The 20,744-nt window shown below is 44.4% G+C and overlaps 1 protein-coding gene across 4 annotated transcripts; it reads right to left on the bottom strand.

The window, feature by feature from the left end:
* Positions 1-5,090: 5,090 nt before the first annotated feature.
* Positions 5,091-18,936, bottom strand: AKR1B10 (aldo-keto reductase family 1 member B10). 4 transcript variants are annotated; one of them, NM_020299.5, is made up of 10 exons: positions 18,526-18,936; positions 15,693-15,860; positions 14,479-14,595; positions 13,422-13,499; positions 9,731-9,853; positions 9,346-9,452; positions 8,842-8,923; positions 8,226-8,309; positions 7,486-7,568; positions 5,091-5,456 (listed from the first exon to the last, which is right to left on the bottom strand). In NM_020299.5, exons 1-10 carry the CDS (start codon positions 18,589-18,591, stop codon positions 5,414-5,416), a joined length of 951 nt encoding a protein of 316 aa, NP_064695.3. In that variant the 5' UTR covers positions 18,592-18,936; the 3' UTR covers positions 5,091-5,413. The 4 variants fall into 4 exon arrangements, with proteins under 4 accessions (NP_064695.3, XP_011514718.1, XP_047276590.1 ...); XM_011516416.2 differs by lacking the exon at positions 14,479-14,595; XM_047420634.1 differs by lacking the exon at positions 5,091-5,456 and having other exon boundaries at positions 8,226-8,358.
* Between the last annotated feature and the right edge of the window lie 1,808 nt (positions 18,937-20,744).

Genomic DNA, 20,744 nt, shown 5'->3' with positions numbered 1-20,744 from the left:
CATTGGCCAGGGTCAGGTCGTACAATCTAAACTAATCCTGGTTGGCTAAACATTGGATTTTTTTTAGATAAGGTGGGCACGTAAAAAAGGCAGAGAATAAAGGGGAAGGGGTGTCTGTAATGAGCTAAAAAGTTAGTCCTCTTTCCAAATAAGGAAAGGAATGTGAGCAGGTACAGATACCACCTGGTACTGTGGCATGCCTGGGCATGTAACAAAGGAAAAAAGAGAAAAAAGGAGAAAAAGGAAAAAAGGTGGAGGGATTACTATGAATTAAAGAATAAAAGATTGATCAGGTTATCTGAAGAGAAACCTCATCATATCCCACACATCCATCCATCCATCCATCCATCCATCATTCATCCATCCATCCATCCATCCATCCATCCATCATTCATCCATCCCCAATCCATGTATCCTTCCACCCATCCCTCCTTCCATTTGTCTTTCTATCCATCCTTCCTTCTTTCCATGTTTCCAACCATCCATCCATGCCTCCGTCCCTCCACCCATCCATTCGTCCATCCATTGTTCCATCCATTCCATCTATCTATTTATTCACCAGATATTATTGAGGCGGGGAATACAATAATTAACAGAACTCAAAAATCCCTTCTCTCATAGAGCTTACATGCTAGTGGGTAGAAACAGGGTAAGCAAGCAAACAGCAAATATATAAAATACATGACATATTGATAAACAAATGCTATGGAGAAGAAGAAAACACTTAGAAGGGCAAGAAGAAATATCAGAGGAGGTAGGTTAATTTTAAATAGGGTGATGAAGAAAGTCCTCTCTGAAAAGACGATAAATCGGCAAGGAAATTAAAAATACAAGTCAGAGAATTATTCTAATATCTGAGGGCAGAGCATCCCAGGCAGTGAGAATACCAAGGGCAAGAGCCCTGAGGCACAAGTACCTCTCTTGCGTAATTTTTTAGTAACGGTCAAGGTCCTCTTGGTCCTCACCAACTCTCCCTAACTTATCTGGGGGCTGATATTTTTGAACCAACAAAAGTGCTGGAAGGCAACACTGTAAGATTTTAAGGGTGCAAAACTTTCATGAAATGTCTGGGAAAATGCTGACAACAAATGAGGAAAAACAAATGAATTAGGTAGAATTTAAAATTAAATGTAATCAAATTCCACTGCATTGTACATTCAGAATACGTATTTTCTAAAATCGAAAGGCTTGTTAAATGAGAATAATTTCAAGTAAAAGTGTCTCTTTCATTTGGTTTTCCCAGTGGATGTATAAAATAACTAATTGAGCTAAATCTGTTATTTTTTAAATCCTTAATGCCTCTCTAGAATGTAAAAGTTCATTTCCTATTGTGGAAATTTTGAAAATTATGTAAAAGAATAACAAAAATAAACTTGTTGCCAAACAACATAGAAAAAAACCCTCTTAATATTCAAATCTTTCTAGATAGATTTTCTTTTATTTCTAAGTTTTGCTGGTTTGATAGTGTATAAAGCTTATTTTAATTTGCATTTTTATTACTAGTCTGTACAATTTTTCATGTCATTTAATGGTCAATTTTATGTAAAAACTTTCTTTGTGGCATCTGAGATTTTTCTTATTTATATGAATAAACTCTTTTGATTATAAGAAAATTGCCAAATGGTTTTGTCCAAGTTTGTTTATCTCTTATTTTTGTGTGTTTCTTTGCTTGTTTTTGTTTTGAGATGGAGTCTCACTCTGTCACCCAGGCAGGAGTGCAGTGGCGCAATCTCAGCTCGCTGCAACCTCTGCCTCCCAGGTTCAAGCAATTCTCGTGCCTCAGCCTCCTGAGTGGGATTAGAGGCGTGTGCCACCATGCCTAGATAAGTTTTATAGTTTTATTAGAGACCAGGTTTCACCATATTGGCCGGGATGGTCTCAAACTCCTGACCTCAAGTGATCCATCCTCCTCAGCCTCCCAAAGTGCTGGCATTACAGGCGTAAGCCACTGCCACTGGCCTATTTTTGCATAATTATATGTTCGGAGTTTACATTTCTATAGTCATGCACGGTCATTAAAGCAAAAAAAAAAAACTTATTTCCAACAATCTTCACTCTTCAGGGTTCTTTCAAATTTTACTGAAAACTATTTTCTACAGAAGCCTCTCTCATCTGTACATTGTTAAATATAATGTACAGTTAAATCTCACAATAATGCAATAAGTAGGGTCCAAATTTTTTTATATTTAATAGTTCATATAGCAACAGTCTCACTATGTTGCCCAGGCTGGTCTCAAATTCCTGGCCTCAAGCGATCCTCCTACCTTGACCTCCCAAAGTCCTGGCATTAAAGGTGTGAACCACCAGGCCCCGCTGGGTCCAAATTTTTAATCATGTAAAATGCAGAGCTGTTGCAAGGTTGTTGAAATGACTGGAGCAGCCCTGGACAGTCAGGCATTAGGGGGTTTGCCTGGGACATCCAAATCCCTTTAGGTCCCAGTTATAGTTTGGCATCATCTGCCCAGCATTTGCCAGATCTCACTTAAATACAACAGGGTAAGTCTAGCCCTCTGGATTACCTGGGCCAGGCAGGACAGTCACAGTGATTCCAGAATCTCCATGGTAGCTGCTACCCATCTTTCCAGCCCTCTCTTAGACAATGAATGGAGAGAATACTTGAAACATAAGAGCCTCACTCCTTGCCTCCCTACTTCCCACGACAAGCTCCCTTCCTTTTCCACACTGACTTTACTTACCATCTTCCTCTCTGTGGTTACTCCCCTTCCTTTCTCTTCATAATGCAAGTTCCCTACATTATCATAAGAGTTTTTTAACACACACCTGTAGTGTATACCTTAGATTGTCTCCCCATAAAGGCAGCTTTGGTTTAGGTGATGATGATGGTGGCTTTATTTCCAACCAATTGGGACAAAATAGTGAACAAATGTTAGGATGGATGCATTGTATTTGTTACAGTTGTGACATTGAGGACCCTGAGACGTGTAAGGTTCTCATTACTCGAGATATAAATGCTGAAAATATAATCAGATAACTGGCTGGTGAGGTGGCGCATGCCTGTGATCCCATCATTTTGGAAGGCAGAGGCGGGAGGATCACTTGAGGCCAGGAGTTTCCAACCAGCCTGGGAAACATAGCAACATCGCAAGATCCTGTCTCTACAAAAAATAATTAGCAGGACATCATGCCTGTGCCTGTAGTCCCAGCTACTCAGGAGGCTGAGGCAGGAGAATCACTTGAGCCCAGGAATTCAAGGTTGCAGTGAGCTATGATCATGCCACTGCACTCCACTCCAGCCTGGGCAACAGAGCAAGACTCCTTCTCCACAAAGACAGAAAACAGAATAAGTAAGAAGTTGCTTTTTAAAACACAGCATTTCTCCACATTAGCTTTTTAAATTTACCTCTGTTTGGTTAAGTTCAAGTGAAACAAACAAACAAAAAACCACATAATAGAAACCGAATCATTTTATCCTATAACCAAAGCTTTTTATCAAGCAAGTCATAATCACAGTGACACAAAGAAGAAAATGTTCACAAAATGCTCACTAAGGAGATATCACTGGGCTCTGGGTTGAAATTGCTTCCTGTGCATCAGTTGTATACATTTTATATACATTTTAAAAGCACCCAGTCTGTGAGATTGTGTATGGATGTGTACATATATAATAAAAATACATATATAATAAAAATGTGGATGGGAAGTATACCAGTCAAAGGGCCAGCCAGAAGAAAAGAAACTATGCTAAGATTTTTGAAAATTGCATGTTTTATTCAAATACGTGGTTATGATAGGTGATCAGATACACGTGATGGAAGAGCTGGGCTATTGAAAGGAGATGAGGCAACTAGTTTAGCAGCAGCAGGAAGAGATCCCTTCTCCTAAGGAAGAAGGACAAAGAAAGAGTGCTGCTTCCTCATCCCAGAAGCTTTGTCTGGTAGGAGATAGAATCAAGGTGGAGGCTGCCTGGAAAAAGTTGAGCCCACAGAGAAACGTGTCTTCTACTGGAGATGCCGCTCAAGGTCAATAGACAGGGAGAGAGGGAGAGAGAAACGCCTGGTCTTCCCTTCTCCAGCCCGTCAAGCTCCTAACTGTACCTCTCACTGAGCAAACCCAGAGGAATTCCTAACATAGCAAGGAAGCTTGGGAATGTAGGTGTACCCCCCAACCCCAAACAGAGGATGAGGGGACTCACCAATTTAGGATAAGCATTTGCCTCTGGAGAGGGGGGTCAGTGGAATGGGGATGGGGAGAGGCACAAAGTGGTCCTCGACTATATTGGTAACCCCTAATTTCTTTAATTTTTTTTTAAAGGTTTGGAGCCAATATGGCAAAATGTTAGCATTCGCTCTTTGTTTTTTGTTTTGAGACAGAGTCTCTCTCTCTCACCCAGGCTGGTGTGCAGTGGTGCAATCTTGGCTCACTGCAACCTCCACCTCCCAGGTTCAAGCGACCCTCCCACCTCAGCCTTCGGAGTAGCTGGGACTACAGGTGCGCACCACTACACTCGGCCAGCACTTGTTAACATTATAAGGTGGGCGGCCAGATGCTCATTAGTTTATTTTCTGTACATTTCTATATAGTTGGAATATTTCATAAGAAGCAATTATTATAGGACAAACAGAAATGTTCCAGATTAATGGCAATAGTAAGTATCTTTATTGTTTTTCCACCCTACTTCCCAAGGAAATGCCACACCTCTACTTCCCAAGAAAATGCCGCACCTCTCTCAATGAACACTAGCATCTTTGTGGAGTTTGCAGGCTCTGCCATTGACTCTTTGGCACAATGGTGTTGAAGGCAAGCTGTGAGAGCAAGACAGGGAATGAGTGGAGACAGGCAAGAAGGAAAGGTGGCAGGAAAAGGCTCAGGAGAAAGAGGATGACCATCGATCGCTGTGAGCTACCCCAGAGCCTGCCTCCCTTTGAAACTTGGTTCAGTCACTTACTACCTGGGTGGCCTTGAGCAAGTTCCTCCTCCCTCCCCTCTACCTCCATTTCCTCTTCCAGCAAATGTGAATAATAAGATGTTAAGAATACCTACCCCAAAGGGATTATTCTGAGGATTCAATGACTTCACCCACAGGAAAACACTTCAAATTGTGTTGGCACATAGTACAGTCTCAATACATGTTGGTTATGATTATTATTTTTTTTATTGATCTTTACATCCTCAGTGTTGGCAGAGTTTCTGATGCTTAATAAACATTTGTTCTGATCAGATAAGTGGAAAAAATTGTCATTTCCTTATTCAAGCCATGCTTTTCTGTGATATTCTGATCCTAGTTGAACATACAGAAATAAATGTCTAAAACAGCACCTCGATTCTCGTCTATAACAGGACTAAGTTCACTGTGATCTTAAATAAGCTTGGCTAAAATGGGACATGAGTGGAGGTAGTCACACTTCAGCGAAGAAAGAGAATCTCCTGTATAATCTCACCAGGAGATTCAACCTCAATATTCTGCATTGAAGGGATAGTCTTCCAAATGAGAGGATCTGCAGGAAAGAACAAAAAACAAAAACAGAGAAACTGAGTTCCATCAAAACAACAACTCTGGTTGAGAAGGTATTCTTCCCTGGTGGACTCTATCATATTTGTGCTCTCTTAGCCTCCTCCCTGCAAGAACATAAGGAGGGTGCCCACACTTTGACCTTCCCTCAAATCGATATGAGGGCTTTGCTCGGAAGGAGGGCAGACAGTGAGCAGGGCAGCAGAATAAACTCGTAATGACAACCCATAGTAAGCCTGGTGTCAGGCGAGGTGACAGACAAGTCTTGTCCCAATCCACTCTCACAACATCATGAAGTAGGAAACAACAGCAGAATTGACAGCTTGGGGATTGTTCTGAGTATTAAATGAGATAATACCACCGGAAAAGGGCGCAGGACCCTGGCACATTCTAAGCTAAGGTTCAATGGATGTTAGCTGCGATTAGTATTATCATCCTACTTTATAAGTGAAGAAACCAACTTGGAAAAACTAGGAAATTTGCCCAATGTCACACAGCTAATAAACCAGTGTTAAAGTTGGATTTGAGGCCAGGTGGATTTACTGCAGAGCCCACCAACCCATTGCCTCCATTGCTACCCATTGCCAGAAATGATGCTCATAGGAAGGTAAGCAGTTTAGTTTGGGGGGTGAGTCCCACTTTACGTTCACCCTTCCTTTTTGCTCTAAGTAGCTACTACTTTGTTAAGCTCCAATAAAAGTAAGCCATTGTAAGATGAGGAAAGGCTCCTATGATACTTAGGGTGGGCAGGATAGATATGGAATATCATGACATGCAAGCAGCGCTTGAGATACTGAAACCTTTTTTTTTTTTCTGAGACAGAGTCTCGCGCTGTCACCCAGGATGGAGTGCAGTGGCGCAATCTCAGCTCACTGCAAGCTCTACCTCCCGGGTTCACACCATTCTCCTGCCTCAGCCTCCTAATTAGCTGGGACTACAGGTGCCCACCACCACGCCCAGCTAATTTTTGGTAGAGACGGGGTTTCACCATGTTAGCCAGGATGGTCTTGATCTCCTGACCTCTTGATCAGCCCACCTTGGCCTCCCAAAGTGCTGGGATCACAGCCGTGGGCCACCACGCCCAGCCGAAATCATTTTTAAAAGGTGAAAAATCGTTTTTGGCTATAGAAACATTGAAAGAGATTCAAATCCTCATTGAATTACAGATCTGGCAGTAATAAATGCCAGACAACTCTTTTTGATACATTTAATTAGATACATTATTCAGAAAGTATTGCTTGTAAAGAGATGATTTAGAATGCCTGCCCAGCCAGAGTGAAAGCTTTTTTTCACCACTTATCTAAGATTTTAAGTAAAGTTAGCACCACCTCCTTTAAGAGGCATTTGGAGATGATTTAATCCAGCCTCCCTGGCCTTCTTGCTTGAATGTTCTAAACACAATCCCACCTCAGGGACTTTGCACCTGCTGTTATCACCGCCAAGAATGCTCTTCCCCCAAATATGCATATGGTATATCCCTCACAGCAAAGCCTCCCTTTACACACCCTGTATAAAGGATCAGTCCCACTACCACCCACCGCTTCCTATCCACTTTGCCCTACTTTATTTTTCTGTCTAGCATTTGTTGCTGTCTGACATCTATATTTTGAGTTGATTTATTTCTGTTGTCTCTTCTTCCCTCCCTCCCTAAGCCTATGGAGGCAGCAACTTTGTACAGTATGATAACCTAAGCACCTAGAAAATGCCTGGCACATAGATGACCGTGAGATATTGATTGAATGAATGAATAAATGAATGTTCTGCCTCCCGCCTATTGACAACCCACCTTCTGTTATGATTCTAGCTCTACATCCAGAAGTTCAGACAATGAGCAGCAATTAGAGATGTGTCCCTCACAGTGATTCCCAGGTACCCCAATTTTAACTTTCAAAATTGCCCCAAAATAGTATTTGAAGACACAAGTAGTCCCAGCAGCCTTCCAATCCTTCCAACTAACCCTCTATTAGTTTAGAAAAACTCCTGGCAATGCTTCTAGTTAACTCCATGCCACTTACTGCAACACGTTACAGGCCCTCCAGTTTCTGTTGAAGCTGAGTATGGTTGCCATCTCCTCATCACTCAATTTAAAGTCAAAGACCTGGAAAGGTAGGAGTTCCAATACATCATCAGTAAGGCCATTCTAGCTGTGGCTGGAGACTGCCGGCCATTCTAGCAGGGAGGGAGCTCACATTCACAGCACAAACTGGCCACAGGAGTTTTTCCCATTCTGTCCACGGGATACAAATTTTTCTCTAAATTAGGTCCTACACAAAGACCACAGTATTTGTAGTGCTCAGTGTTCTGGGGGGAGGGAGACCAGGCTCACAGGCACTAAACCCCAGGCGTGCACAGGCCCTGTGCTCCATGACAGGTGCTTCTAGAGGACACTTCTCCAAGGACAGTTCACACCTCCTCTGCTGCCGGGAAGTGAGCAGGGAGGCCAGGACAGTCTGTTCTTGTGTGTGGCCCAGGGCCTAGCTGCTCAGGGGCAACTGAGGGTCTTCTCAGTGGTGTGAGGCACAACTGTGCTCAGACCTGATAGGGCTTTACCAGGCACTGCCCCCAGGATGTCCTTAGCCCATGGGTCATTCATCTCAGCTCTACTGACCCTAGCTCCCTGGGCTGGAAAATGATAGGGTGGTGGGAAGGGAGGGGGCAAAAGACAATGCAGCGATGAGGTGAGAAGCCTAGTGAGAAGGTCTGCCTGTCCCCCACTCCACTGAGGAATACCAGGGCCGACCAGCCGGAAACTTACCTGAATGTTCTCAACAATGCGTGCTGGTGTCACAGACTTGGGGATGACAATCACATTCCTCTGGATATGGAAACGGATCAGAACCTATGCGGAAAGGGGACATCAGGCTTCCACTCAGCTCCAAAGACCCCTCCTTTTATGGAAAGGAAGAATAAAACATCTCTGCAGCTCACTGTGGCTTCAGGTACAATCGCTAATAATTACTGAGCCCTTCACAGCTATTAGACTTGTGCCAGACCCCCACCTCTTTCTCTCCCTTCACCTTAGAGACAACCCTGTGATCTTCCTTTTTTAGGAATGAAGAAAGTAGCTTGGGGGTCATAAGGCTGATCAGAGGTAGAGTTGGCATCTGCACCCATATCCCTAGACTCCAAAGCCATGCTTTGCCACTGGGCTGTAGGGCTTGACAGGAAGCTGTGAGACAGAAGCTATCTTTGCTTCAGTGACAGCTCTTGTGTTTCCTAGAGGTTCCAACAGACTTCAAAGGAAACACTTTAGAGGGCTTCAGCTCCTATATTCTTCCCCTTTAAGGAGTTTGTTGAGGACAACACAGGATATGAAACACGAGACTGGAAGAATGAGTTGTTGGATAACAAGAAAAATAAAAATATGGCACCTGGGCTGCGGTTTTTTTGTGCTTTGCAGCAATCTCCTTAATCTTGGGATCCTCCAGCAGGGAAGGGTCTTCTGGCTTGGCCCTAGGGGCAGAAAGATGCTGATGTGAATAATCACCATGGCTACCATGTACAGAAGGACACCACTCCAATGAGGGTCTCAAGACTGATCATCAGAGCCTCTCCATCTGGGAGACAGGCAGGAGGACCTGGAAGCTTGGGTCCTTTCCCCGGGCTCTGAAGCCTCAGCATTTTGCAAAGCCTGGTTCACCCTTGGGTGGCTGAACTGGAAATATTCCCAGAGGGTCAAGCATGTCGCCCTTGGTGTTGTTGTTGTTGTTTAATTCCCATTTTTTCCCACTGCCATCCCATTTGTGTGTACCAAACGTGTTACCTTACACACATTTTTCTTTCCAGTAACTTATGGACCCATACCAACATTTACCAATTATAAAATAATGTTTTTAAGATTATCAAGAGAAAGACCCACCACTTGGAAGCCTCACCAAGGTCTATCCGGAGAGCCCAGGGGGCTGTAGGCCGTAACGGTGATGCCCTTGGAGTGGCAGTACTGGATCAGTTTCTCCTGTGTGAGGTATGGGTGACACTCAACCTGCAACAGCAAACAATCCTCATCACGGGGAAAGCCGGCTCTGTTTTGCATTGTTCCTAGGGAGTTCTACACACAAAAAAAGTCCACCAAGCAAAGGCCAAACACCTGCCCACTGAGATACTTGCTAAATCACCCGTGAGATCAGCCTCACACCTCCCCAAAGTGTCCTGATCACTGACCCCTGAGATGAGACTCAGGGCATAGCATTGAACATTCCTCCCGCAATGTTTAAGAAGTAATAGGGCAGGACCCTTACCCTTAAACTGAATAGAATTTACCTGGTTAGTCACTGGTTTATATTTCAGTCCAGGTTTGTTCAAGAGCTTCTCGATCTGGAAGTGGCTGAAATTGGAGACCCCAAGGGCTTTCACCAGCCCCTCATCCACCAGCTCCTCCATGGCCTATCATAGAAAGGAATACCTTATGGGCAGCTCTAGAGGGACTACAGGGACCCTGGCTTGCCTTAGTCCTCCCTGGGGCAGAAATTGCTAAAGGATCCACCGTAACAGGGTTAGCCGAAGCATTCACAGGAAATTTTAGTCCAGGGCCTGGGTGCCCATCAGTGACTGGTTCCAGCCCTACTGCCCCTCCCCAGCGCAAGAAAAACTAGGAGTAACAGGTAAAGATTTTATGTTCTTGCCACTCTCACCTTACACGTGAAGAAACACATAAAAAATTAAACTTCCTGTACACAGGGGAAATATGAAAGTTTTGTAATGCAAAAAAATAAAAAGTAAATAAAAATCAACATTTGTAAGCTTATGAGATGATTTAATTTTTAATGAATCCAAATGATAGCAGGGAGCTGCTGTTGTGTGTGTGCATTGCACACCCAAACCTGGGCAAGCTGTGTTAGTCAGGAAGAGGCTGCAGCATACGGAGAAGCCTCACTTGTGGGTCCTGAGTCCCTCTCTCCCACACTAAGCATGCTTTGGTTTGCAGGAAGGTCATGCATTCAGATTACACCCTGATAGGGGCACCCGGCCATGGAGTTGTGTGGGACTGAAGCCTGACCCACTGTTTGCATATCCAGCCATGCTTCCTGGTACAGAAACTGCATGGACACGCAAGGAAGGGAATCTTTGTATAATTTTTAGCCTATATTGGGCATTTTCCAAACTTGCCCAAAGATACCATACATGTTAGCAGCAGCCTCCAGTGCAATATGTATTTAGTAGCCATCTATTACATGTTCCAGATCCTGCCCAGAAGTTGTCAGGATGTAAATGTATACAATGTGCTCCCTTTTTCTGGGATTCTTATAGTCCAATTAAAGTGCTAGAGTTCCCTTCTATGGAGCCATCAATCATGACACTGAGGCTGCCTCAGATAACATCACAGCGGCATAGACAGAGTCAGAAAGGGCAGAGAAAGAAGAGATACATACAGCCCGCAGTTGTCAGGGGAGTCCTTCAGGTAGAGTATAAGCTGGGCCTCAAAAGAAAAAAAAAAAAAAAAAAAAAAAGACAGAAAAGAGGGAAAAAACATGAGCATATGACACAGGAAGGCAGGAGCAAAGCTCAGAGGCAGGGATAAGCACGACATGTTCAGGGAACACTTTATCCAGCCCTTCTCAACTTTGGCTGCAATTTGGAATCACCAGGGAGCTTTAAAAAATACTGGCTGGATGCAGTGGCTCATGACTGTAATCTCAGCACTTTGGGAGGTGACAGGAGGATTGGAACAGGGGTTTTGGGCCTAGGTTTGAGTAACCTAGGGTAAGTTTTTTAACTCTTGTAGGCCTTAGCTTTCTCTTCTTAAAAAAAGTCTTATAATACCTACTAATAATATATATGTTTCTGATATATATTACCAGAGGCTGAGACAGGAGGATTGCTTGAGGCCAGGTGTTGGAGACCATCCTGGGCAACATAGCAAGACCCTGTCTCTACAAAAAGAAATTTTTTTAATTAGCTGGATGTGGCGGCATGTGCCTTTGATTCCAGCTACTTGGGAGGATTGCTTCAGCCCAGGAGTCCGAGGCTGCACTAAACTATGATGATGCCATTGTACTCCAGCCTGGGCAACAGAGAGAGACTCTCTCTAAATTAAAAAAAAAAATTACCAGTGCCTGGATTTCACCCCCCAGAGTTTCTTACAGATTTTCTCTGAGTTGTAGCCTAGACGTTGGGATTTTTAAACTCCTCAGGTGATTCTAATGCATAGCCACGTTGAGAACCACTAGGATATATGATGTTATCCAAATTGGGCAGTAGAATTTAGAAGCTGTGAAATCATTAGGTTTCCCAAAATTTCAGATGGGGCAATTAGATAATTTAAAAGTTTTTGTGCACATAGGTCAGGTTAGTTTTCCTGTATTAGAACTTGACTTCTTTATACATTTTTCCTCCTCTCTGCTTCAATGTGGTCAGTGAGGTTTCTACTGAACTGGTTGTGGGTCTACATAAACATCCAACGCTTACATATTCAAGCCTGCTCATTTCAAATCAGAGCCTCTGATCTTGATCACTGCTATCTTTTCATGCCTTTCAAATGTTTTATTTAGCAGTCGTTCTTGTATTCATTCAAAAAACAGCACTGCGAGAAGCAGGCTACATTGACATACTTGCCATACTTCATGGCATCATAAGAGTTAAGATAAAAAAATCTTATCATATGTAATGCAAATAGCCAGGTGTGGTGGCTCACACCTGTAATCTGAGCACTTTGGGAGGCCAAGACAGGTGGATCCCTTGAGGTCAGGACTTCGAGACCAGACTGGCCAACATGGTGAAACCCCATCTCTACTAAAAATACAAAAATTAGCCAGGCGTGGTGGCATGCACCTCTAGTCCCAGCGACTCAGGAGGCTGAGGCAGGAGAATGGCTTTTACTTGGTAGAGGGACGTTGCAGTGAGCCAAGATTGTGCCACTGCACTCCAGCCTGGGTGACAGAGTGAGAGTGTCTAAGACAATAAAAACAACAAAAAGCTGTGCTTGTGGATTAATGCTTTTGAACAAACAATACACAGAAAAAGCTACATTTCATTGAATCATGTCAATTATAAGCATTTCAGAAAGTTGAAACATAATATATTTTTGCTTGTAAAACACAATACAAACTCGCAACTACATGCACACCTACACAGACAGCTACCAAAATAACACGATTAACTCTTGGAGTCATAAGCCACTGTTCATTTATAACTTATTCCTCCACTTCATTCTCTACTAGCATTTGCAAAAGGGTATAAATAATAAAAAATGACCAGAGAAAATGTTCATCCCTTCATTCATTTTGAATGTGAATGACGTGAAACAGGTCATGGTTAGATCTGAGAAGCAGAGCACTCAGGCTCCCTGATTTCTGGATGTGTCTTCACTGCCTGCCAAGCACCATGCTGATGGCTTTGGTGGTTGGACTTGTGATTCAGATGAGTCTGGGTCTAATCCCAGCTCTGCCACACACATTGTGACAAGACCTGGGCAAGTCATCAAACAATCTAGGTTTCAAATGTCATTATTTATAAATGGGGATGTTAACCCTGTCTCCTAGGGTTAAATGGGCTTTATGACTAATGTTCCTGGCATGTAAACCATCTTAATCTTTATCACACACTGGAAGATATATATTGGTAGTATGTATTATACAACTTCTTTTTAAGAAGAGAAAACTGAGCCCTACATGAGTTACAAAACTGACCCTAGGTTACTCAGCTGCTATGAGCACACCCAGGCCCAAACCTCCTGTTCCAAATGCCTCGCCCTGGTTTGAGAACAGCATGTGTATTCCCCAAAGTGGGGTACATTGTATTTCCAGTCTTATTTGAAGACTATTAGCCTTGAAATATAAATAGTATCAGATGTACCCAAAAGCCAAAGGTGATGAGGAAGATATTAGAAGAGCTAGAAAATCACAATGATGAAATTAGAAAGCATCAGGCACATGGCCTCATTCATATCCATGCGAATCTCATGGATAACTGAAGATTTCTCTCCCAGCACACTTAGAGGAAGCTGGGAACCTACCTCCCAGGCATCCAAGAACGTTGCTTTTCCACCGATGGCATTACCTTTATCATCTTTGGGGAAAAGGTCATCCCCAGACTGTGAACACAGAATGAAAAGTTTACTGGAATCTGCATCAGGACACTTGGTTCTGTTCAACAAGGTTTCAGGATCCTGACTCTTGCTAAATACCACATCTGCATACCACTTTTTCAAGTTCTGGAGTACATACTTTAGGAATGTGAGTTTAATTAAAATCTCTGTATCTACTGTAGCATACTAATATTTTAGAAACGACTGGCTTGACTTTAAGATTTGCTGCTAGTACATTCCAGAAGTTCATTATCACCATGGACATTAACCTCATACACCTAGATCCCATATACAACCAAGGGCAAACTTTCATTTCAATATTACTGGATAAGGATTAGATATCCAAGCTGTGGTTTTCTGGAGAAGATATTGGCCAACTTCTATCCTTGCAGCCTCTAGAAGAGGCGTGGAATTAGGGGTGGCAGGCCATCATCACTCCAGTTGGTCAGGAGGGGAGAGAGCTGGAAATTTGTCTCTCCCACCCCTCAGGAGCAGGTAAGAGCAGAGCCCCAGGCAATGGGTGCCTGGATCACTACTGGCTTCCTTCCAGCATCACCATACTTGGGCTTTTCTCCAAGATGCCACTCCCAGGTGTACTTTGCTTAATAAGATAATTATGCCCTGGAATATAGTTATGCAAGAGTAACCCAAGAGATTTCCTGGGAGGGCAACCCTGGGGCGTGGAATCAAGACAAAGGTGATATGGCAGTTGCAACTTGTCTGGGCTGCCAGAAATCATGTCTTCTCTCAGACATAACTGCAAGAAAACCCAGGCATGTGGCCACCTCAGCAGCACACATGGCCTCAACCTCCCTTCCAGGCCAGTGTGTTTCTTCTCCAAGGTCTCTTCCTGACCACCTGCCATTCCCAATTATGAAATGCAAGGCCTCCTGCCCCAGTCCACACCACCCCACAGCCCTGGTGCAGCTACTATTTTCTGGCACCTGCTCAGAAACTAGAGGCTGAGAAAGAGAGTGTCTTAAACCTTGAATCCCTGTGGCCAGTGAATAAGATAGACGTCCAGATAGCTCAGCTTCAGGTCCTTGAGGGTCTTCTCAAAGGCTTTCCTCACAAGGGGTCTCTCAAAGAAAGTGGGCCACAACTGCAAAGAGTGTAGCAATGAGCTATTAATACTGGGAAAAGGAAGGGCCACATTGTACTCATTGTCCCTGCTTTTTGATTTGCATCCTCATCTAACCCACCACAAGCCATTTGTAACAAAGCTGATTAAGATCCACGACACAGTGTGGAACATCACCAGGGCTCAGCACCTCAATGACATGTCTTAAGTGTTAAAAGCAATTGACTTTTTCAACTGTCCTAGTACTCTATACGTGTCTCAGATCATTGAAGTAAATGTGGCCACAGATTTGAAATTTGTTTACCTGTCTCAGTCTCTTCCTCAGCTGTAGGCTCTCTGAGAGCAGGAATTGTGTGTAGCTTTTAAATGTCAAGCATTCTTAGGCCTTTGGGAGCAGATGGTCCTTTATCTGACCTATCTGATAGGTCCCTTATCAAGCCTATAAGGCCCCAAGTGATAATTTTACAAAGGCTTTATCCAGACTTGGCTGCTACACAGTGAGGTCTATTTGTCCTACCAGATGTATGCATTTTCCAAGTACCTAGAACTAGTGTTATTTTTTTTCAGCAAGTTATGTATAATATAGATCCAGTGATTCTCAGCCCTCTCACACCCAACATCTTCTTCTTTTTTATAACATTGTATCCCTCACCTTTTACTAGAATGAATAAAGAAATTCATATGTGACAATAGAAAAATGCCCCTACCATTTTCTAAAATTCCCCCTGGCTGAGAGTCTCAGGGGCACAGTCACTGAGATCACAGTGCTGAAAGGGAGGCTTCAGATCAAGACCCGCCTGCACCCTTGGCCTCTGATTGCCTCTGGGCAGATGGTAGATCCCTCTGATGGGGAACAGGGAGGCCCAGGGCAGTGCAGGGTTCCATGGAACCAAGCCCACTATGGGAAAACCAACCTACAGGCAGGTGGGGCAGCCACGACATGTTCAAATATCAATAATGGCTTGGAGTATGGATAGTGTTGTATTCACGGATGTTATCAAGGCAGAGATGAAAAGGGGTACATGTAGAAAAGGCTGACAGAGTTCTTGCTGCCAACCCGACCCAGATACTTCTGCCTGCCTTGAAGTGAAGGCCTCCCACCAAATGCACCATTGCACCTTGCTGACGATGAACAGGTCCTCCCGCTTCACAGCCTTCTCTTGGATCTTCTCTTGGATGGCTTCCCCCACTTCATGTTCATTCTGATAGACATAGGCACAGTCAATGTGCCGATATCCTGCATCAATGGCCACCTTCACTGCTTCTTTCACTTTGCCAAGAGGAGACTGAAAGGCAAAAGAAAAGCTCATCACATATGTGTTTTTTTTAAGAGATGGGGCCCTGCCGTGTTGCCCAGGCTGGCCTCACACTCCCAGGTTCAAGCAACCCTCCCACCTCCCGAGTAGCTGGAATTACACCACTCTCAGCAACCATCATATTCTCTTATCCCCAGGCCACCTTCAACAGGCTGCCCCACAAGGCCCAGTTTCTCCAAACCAAGGCCTCACTGGGGTCTCCTTTGCCAGGGGATCTCTGGGAGGATACACACTTTACAAAACTTTTCAAAAGAAAAGAAGGAAAGTGAATTATTTTATGATTATGTCCTTATGTCCTATCCTAGCTAAAAGTCAGTTCCCTTTTCATCCAGGTTAGTCCTGAAATGTCTTCAGGTGTGTGGGGGTGCAGACCGCTCCACTACAACTTTCTGAAGACCCAGATGAAAGCTTGACTCTAAATAACCCCAAGGGATTTTCAGACAATTTCCCCAAATGGTGATAAGGATCTGGATAATGGTCATTACACCATCAATCTGGATTCGATCACTTACTGGGTGTGTGGGTCTAAGCAGGTGATTCAATCTCTGTAAACCTTGTATGCAAAATGGAAAAAAAAATAGCACCAGCCTCATGAGGCCTTTGTGGTGATGAGATGCTGCAATGAATATTAAGCTTTTTGCACATTACCTGACACACAGTAAGGTTCAGTAGAGGCCATCATTATACAATGATCGTTTCAGAAAAAAAAGAGAAATAGAAAACCTTATAGGAATAGAGTTTGTTTTCCACTCCTGTAAAAAGAAAGAGAGAGGGAGGGGAATGACAGAGAGGGAGAGAAAGAAGGGAAGGAAAGAAAAGAAAAGAAAGAAAAAAAGAAAAGAAGGGAAATAGAATTATCACATTTTGTTCTAACCTAGCCAAGCCAATGATGGGGGCAAAAAAGCACTTAAAACTTGATCTCTCACAAAATGGTCTTTTAAACCTCTTCAATTGTGAGATAACAAACATTGAACAGTACACAAAACAGAGATGCACAGCTACCCTACCACCTGGACAAGAAACGAGCTGCTGCCAGGCACCCAGAAGCAGCCCTGTGCCCCCAACCGCTACGCTACACCCTTCTTCACCTCCACTGCTAAGTTCATAATCCTTTAGTCTATCATCCCCACGTGTTGAAGACAGCTCCCTTCATAATTCTTTCATTCAATTCCAAAATTATGAAACTGTCTGGTAAACTCACCCAGGGTGAGTAGATTCCCTGGAGATCTGGAAGTGATTATTTATTCTGTTTATACAGGATTGAAGGTCTGATTTTGGGCAAATCTTGCTATTCAAGCAAGAGACGCTCTGCATGAATCAAGCTGGAAGTGATCTGTTCCTCCAGATACACCAAGAATGTATCCTGAGGATGACCCAGTGCTGCAGCAGAGGGTCCTAACCTCTAGCTTGGGACAGAAGAGAAGAAAAATCAGGGTGCACAGAAGGAAAGAGAGCCAGAGGCAGAAGTCTCAGCAGGGACATTAGCCATGAGGGACAGGAGAGAAGAGGAACTCCAAAGACTGCTTCTCATCACTAGTTAGGGTAGTGCTATCATGGATGGAAATGGCAAAGAAGGCAGAGGGAGGTGGTGATGGAACAACTTGAAACTTAGCCTAACAGAGGCTCGGGAACCTGCCTCACTGAGTCCTGGATGTGCCTTACCACATTTTGCCAGCTGTCGTTAACACAGCCGGGTGGTGCTCACGACTCCCAGCCCAGGCTCTCTGCAGCCCCAGCATGTTGCAGATTTCAATGTGTACAGGAACCACGTAGGGATCTTGTTAAAGTGCAGATGCCCATTAGGTAGCCTGGGTTGGAGCCTGAGACTCTGCATTTTGTTTCTCTCTGTCTCTCTTTCTTTCTCTCTCTCTCTTTCTCTCTTTCTTGCTTTCTTGGATCTCACTCTGTTGCCCAGACTGGAGTGCAGTGGCACAATCACTGCTCATTGCAGCCTTGACCCCTCAGGCTCAACACTCAATCTCCACCTCAGCCTCCCAAGTGGCTGGGACTACAGGTGCGTGCCACCATGCCCAGAAAATTTATTTATTTTTTGTAGAAATGGATTCTTGCCATGTTGCCCAGGCTGGTCTCCAACTCCTGGGCTCAAGCAACCCTCCCGTCTGGATTTCCCAAAGTGCTGGGATTACAGGGATAAGCCACCACACCTGGCCAGTTTGCATTTCTAGCAAGTTTCCAGGTCATAGGGATGCTGCTAGCCCAAGTCTCACACCGTGATCTGCAAAGGGGTGCCAAGGACTTCGGGCTCTGCATCCTCTCCTCAACCACCCAGCCCACAACAAACCCACAGCCAAGACTTGGGGGAAACGTTGAGCCCAATTAAGTGTCCTAGAACCAGAGAGAGAAACTGCCCTGGAAAACAGTTTTAAGTCCAACAGCTGCTTGAAATTTGATACTTGCTAGAGAAGCTCTCATCACTGCTGGGAAAGCCAGCCTTGGAGCTTTGCAGCCTGAATCAGCTCTGAGAAAAGAAAGCAACCTAAGTCCTGGCTCCAGGGCTGAATCTTACCTCTCCAACCCCTGCCCGACCTCCAGGCTTTCCTGGCTGAATGCAGAAAGAGAAAACACCCAAACGCCCCTCCAGAGAAGAAGGGTGTGCAAAGATTTGCATATTTACCTTCCAAGTGCCCAGGCCCACAATGGGCATCTTGGCTTTGGTACTGAGCTCCACAAACGTGGCCATGGTTGGTGCAGAAATGATTCTGAGTGAGCAGGTAGAAGTCTCACGTCCTGCTCTCTGTTGCTGTTTTTGAGACAGTCTTGCACTGTTGCCAAGGCTAGAGTGCAGTGGTGCGATCTCAGCTCACTACAACCTCTGTCTCCTGGGTTCAAGCAATTCTCCTGCCTCAGCCTCCCGAGTAGCTGGGATTACAGGCGCCCACCGTGACTCCCAGCTAATTTTTATATTGTTAGTAGAGACAGGCTGGTCTCAAACTCCTGAGCTCAGGTGATCCGCCCACCTCGGCCTTCCAAAGTGCTGGGATTACAGGTGTGAGCTACTGTGCCCGGCCACAGGCTGCTTAAGAAGGCTGCTGCTATCTACAGTGGGAGGAGTTGGAGCCTGGCCACAGTAGCTTCCCTGCCATAACCAAACAGGAAATCCATTCCAGGCTTTTGTGAGATTGAGGATTCTGTGAATGAATTATTAAACATGGCAACCTTGTGCAAAGTTCTCTCTTAGGTGACAGTATCATTGGAGTTTCTGCTTGTTCAGGATGAGTCAACAAATTCAACACAGCCAAAAGTTGGAAGGTAGGGAGGGAGACAGCAAGGAAGAAAAGAAGAGTTGGAGGAGGGAGGGAAAGAAGTCTGGCCAACATAGTGAAACCCTGCCTCTACTAAAAATACAAAAATTAGCCGGGCGTGGGGGCACGTATCTGCAATCCCAGCTACTTGGGAGGCTGAGAAAGGAGAATCACTTGAACCTGGGAGGCGGAGGTTGCAATGAGCCTAGATCATGCCACTGCACTCCAGCCTGGGCGACAGACAGTGAGACCCTGTCTCAAAAAAAAGAAAGAAAGAAGGGAAGGCAGGAAGGAAGAAAGGAAAGAAGGAAGGAAGGAAGGAAGGAAGGAAGGAGGGAGGGAGGGAGGGAGGGAGGAAGGAAAGAAAGAAGGAAGGAGAGAAAGAAAGCAAAGCAAAGAAGGAAGAAAAAACAAGGGCTTGCTTTCCCTGTGATGGTTTCCTCTGTGAAATAGAGTCTAGGGAGGAGAGGTGAGAAGCAGCGTTTCAATTTTAAAAGTTGCAATTGCAGGTTCAGTGCAGAGATGGTCAAATCCCGACCTGATTGGAGTCAGCTGTAACTAGTTGGTAGTCAGCAATCTAGGGAACATGATATAGGCCTGTGCCATGCTGTGACACGCCATGACAGGCCAGGGCCACGTCACAGCATCTGTTTCAGCCTGCCGGTAGTGGGTTTTTCTGTCTTTTACATGTTCTTGTTGATGAGTTGGCTTTGGTTGAATCTTGAAATGGAATTGAATCTCTAGGCTGTGGCTTATGACAGCTCATAGAAGGCAATTGGCATGATATTTTGCAACTATGAGTGAAAAATCTTATACTTCATTGATGTTTGTTAAATTATCTACTTCAACATTAATAATAATGCATGGGCCGGGCATGGTGTCTCACACCTGTAATCCCAGCACTTTGGGAGGCCGAGGCAGGTAGATCACTTGAGCTTAGGGGTTTGAGACCAGCCTGGCCAACATGGTGAAACCCTGTCTCTGCTAAAAATCCAAAAATTAGCGAGGCATGATGGCACGTACCTATAGTCCCCGCTGCTTGGGAGGCCTGAGAATCCCTTGAACCTGGGAGGTGGAGAATGCAGTGAGCCAAGATGGTGCCACTGCACTATAGCCTGGGCGACAGAGACAGACTCTGTCCCAAAAATAAATAATTAAATACATGCATTCCTCATAATCTGGTGGCCACAAAGTCTCCTGGATATGCACTTGCGGCACTTTATTTTCCCAGTGTATACTGGATGACATGCAGTGCTAGTATTGTTGAAATAGTAAATCCTTAGTGACTGTCAACCTAAATAACAGAGAGAGGGTCCCTACAAGAAAAATATTTCTCTGGGAATAGAGCACTGCAATGGGAATATGCATGCCACAGTAAACTATGTGTATATTTGGGGAAATAAAGGAAGACAAAACTTTTCAAGGAAAAAATGAGGATTATCTAATTGCTTTGAAATAATTAGCCTTGGCTCCAAAGATCAATCATGAAAGTGGTGTTAGTCTGAGGTTGGACACGCAGTTGTTCAGAGGTCCTTGCAGAGTATGTTTTGTGTTCAGTTGCAATGGCCTTTGCTCAAGGTTGTGGTTTTCA

Source organism: Homo sapiens, chromosome 7 (assembly GCF_000001405.40).
Source record: "Homo sapiens chromosome 7, GRCh38.p14 Primary Assembly".
Taxonomy (NCBI): Eukaryota; Metazoa; Chordata; class Mammalia; order Primates; family Hominidae; genus Homo; species Homo sapiens.
The sequence above is the reverse complement of the archived record's forward strand: the minus strand, read 5'-3'. Positions and strand labels throughout refer to the sequence as shown.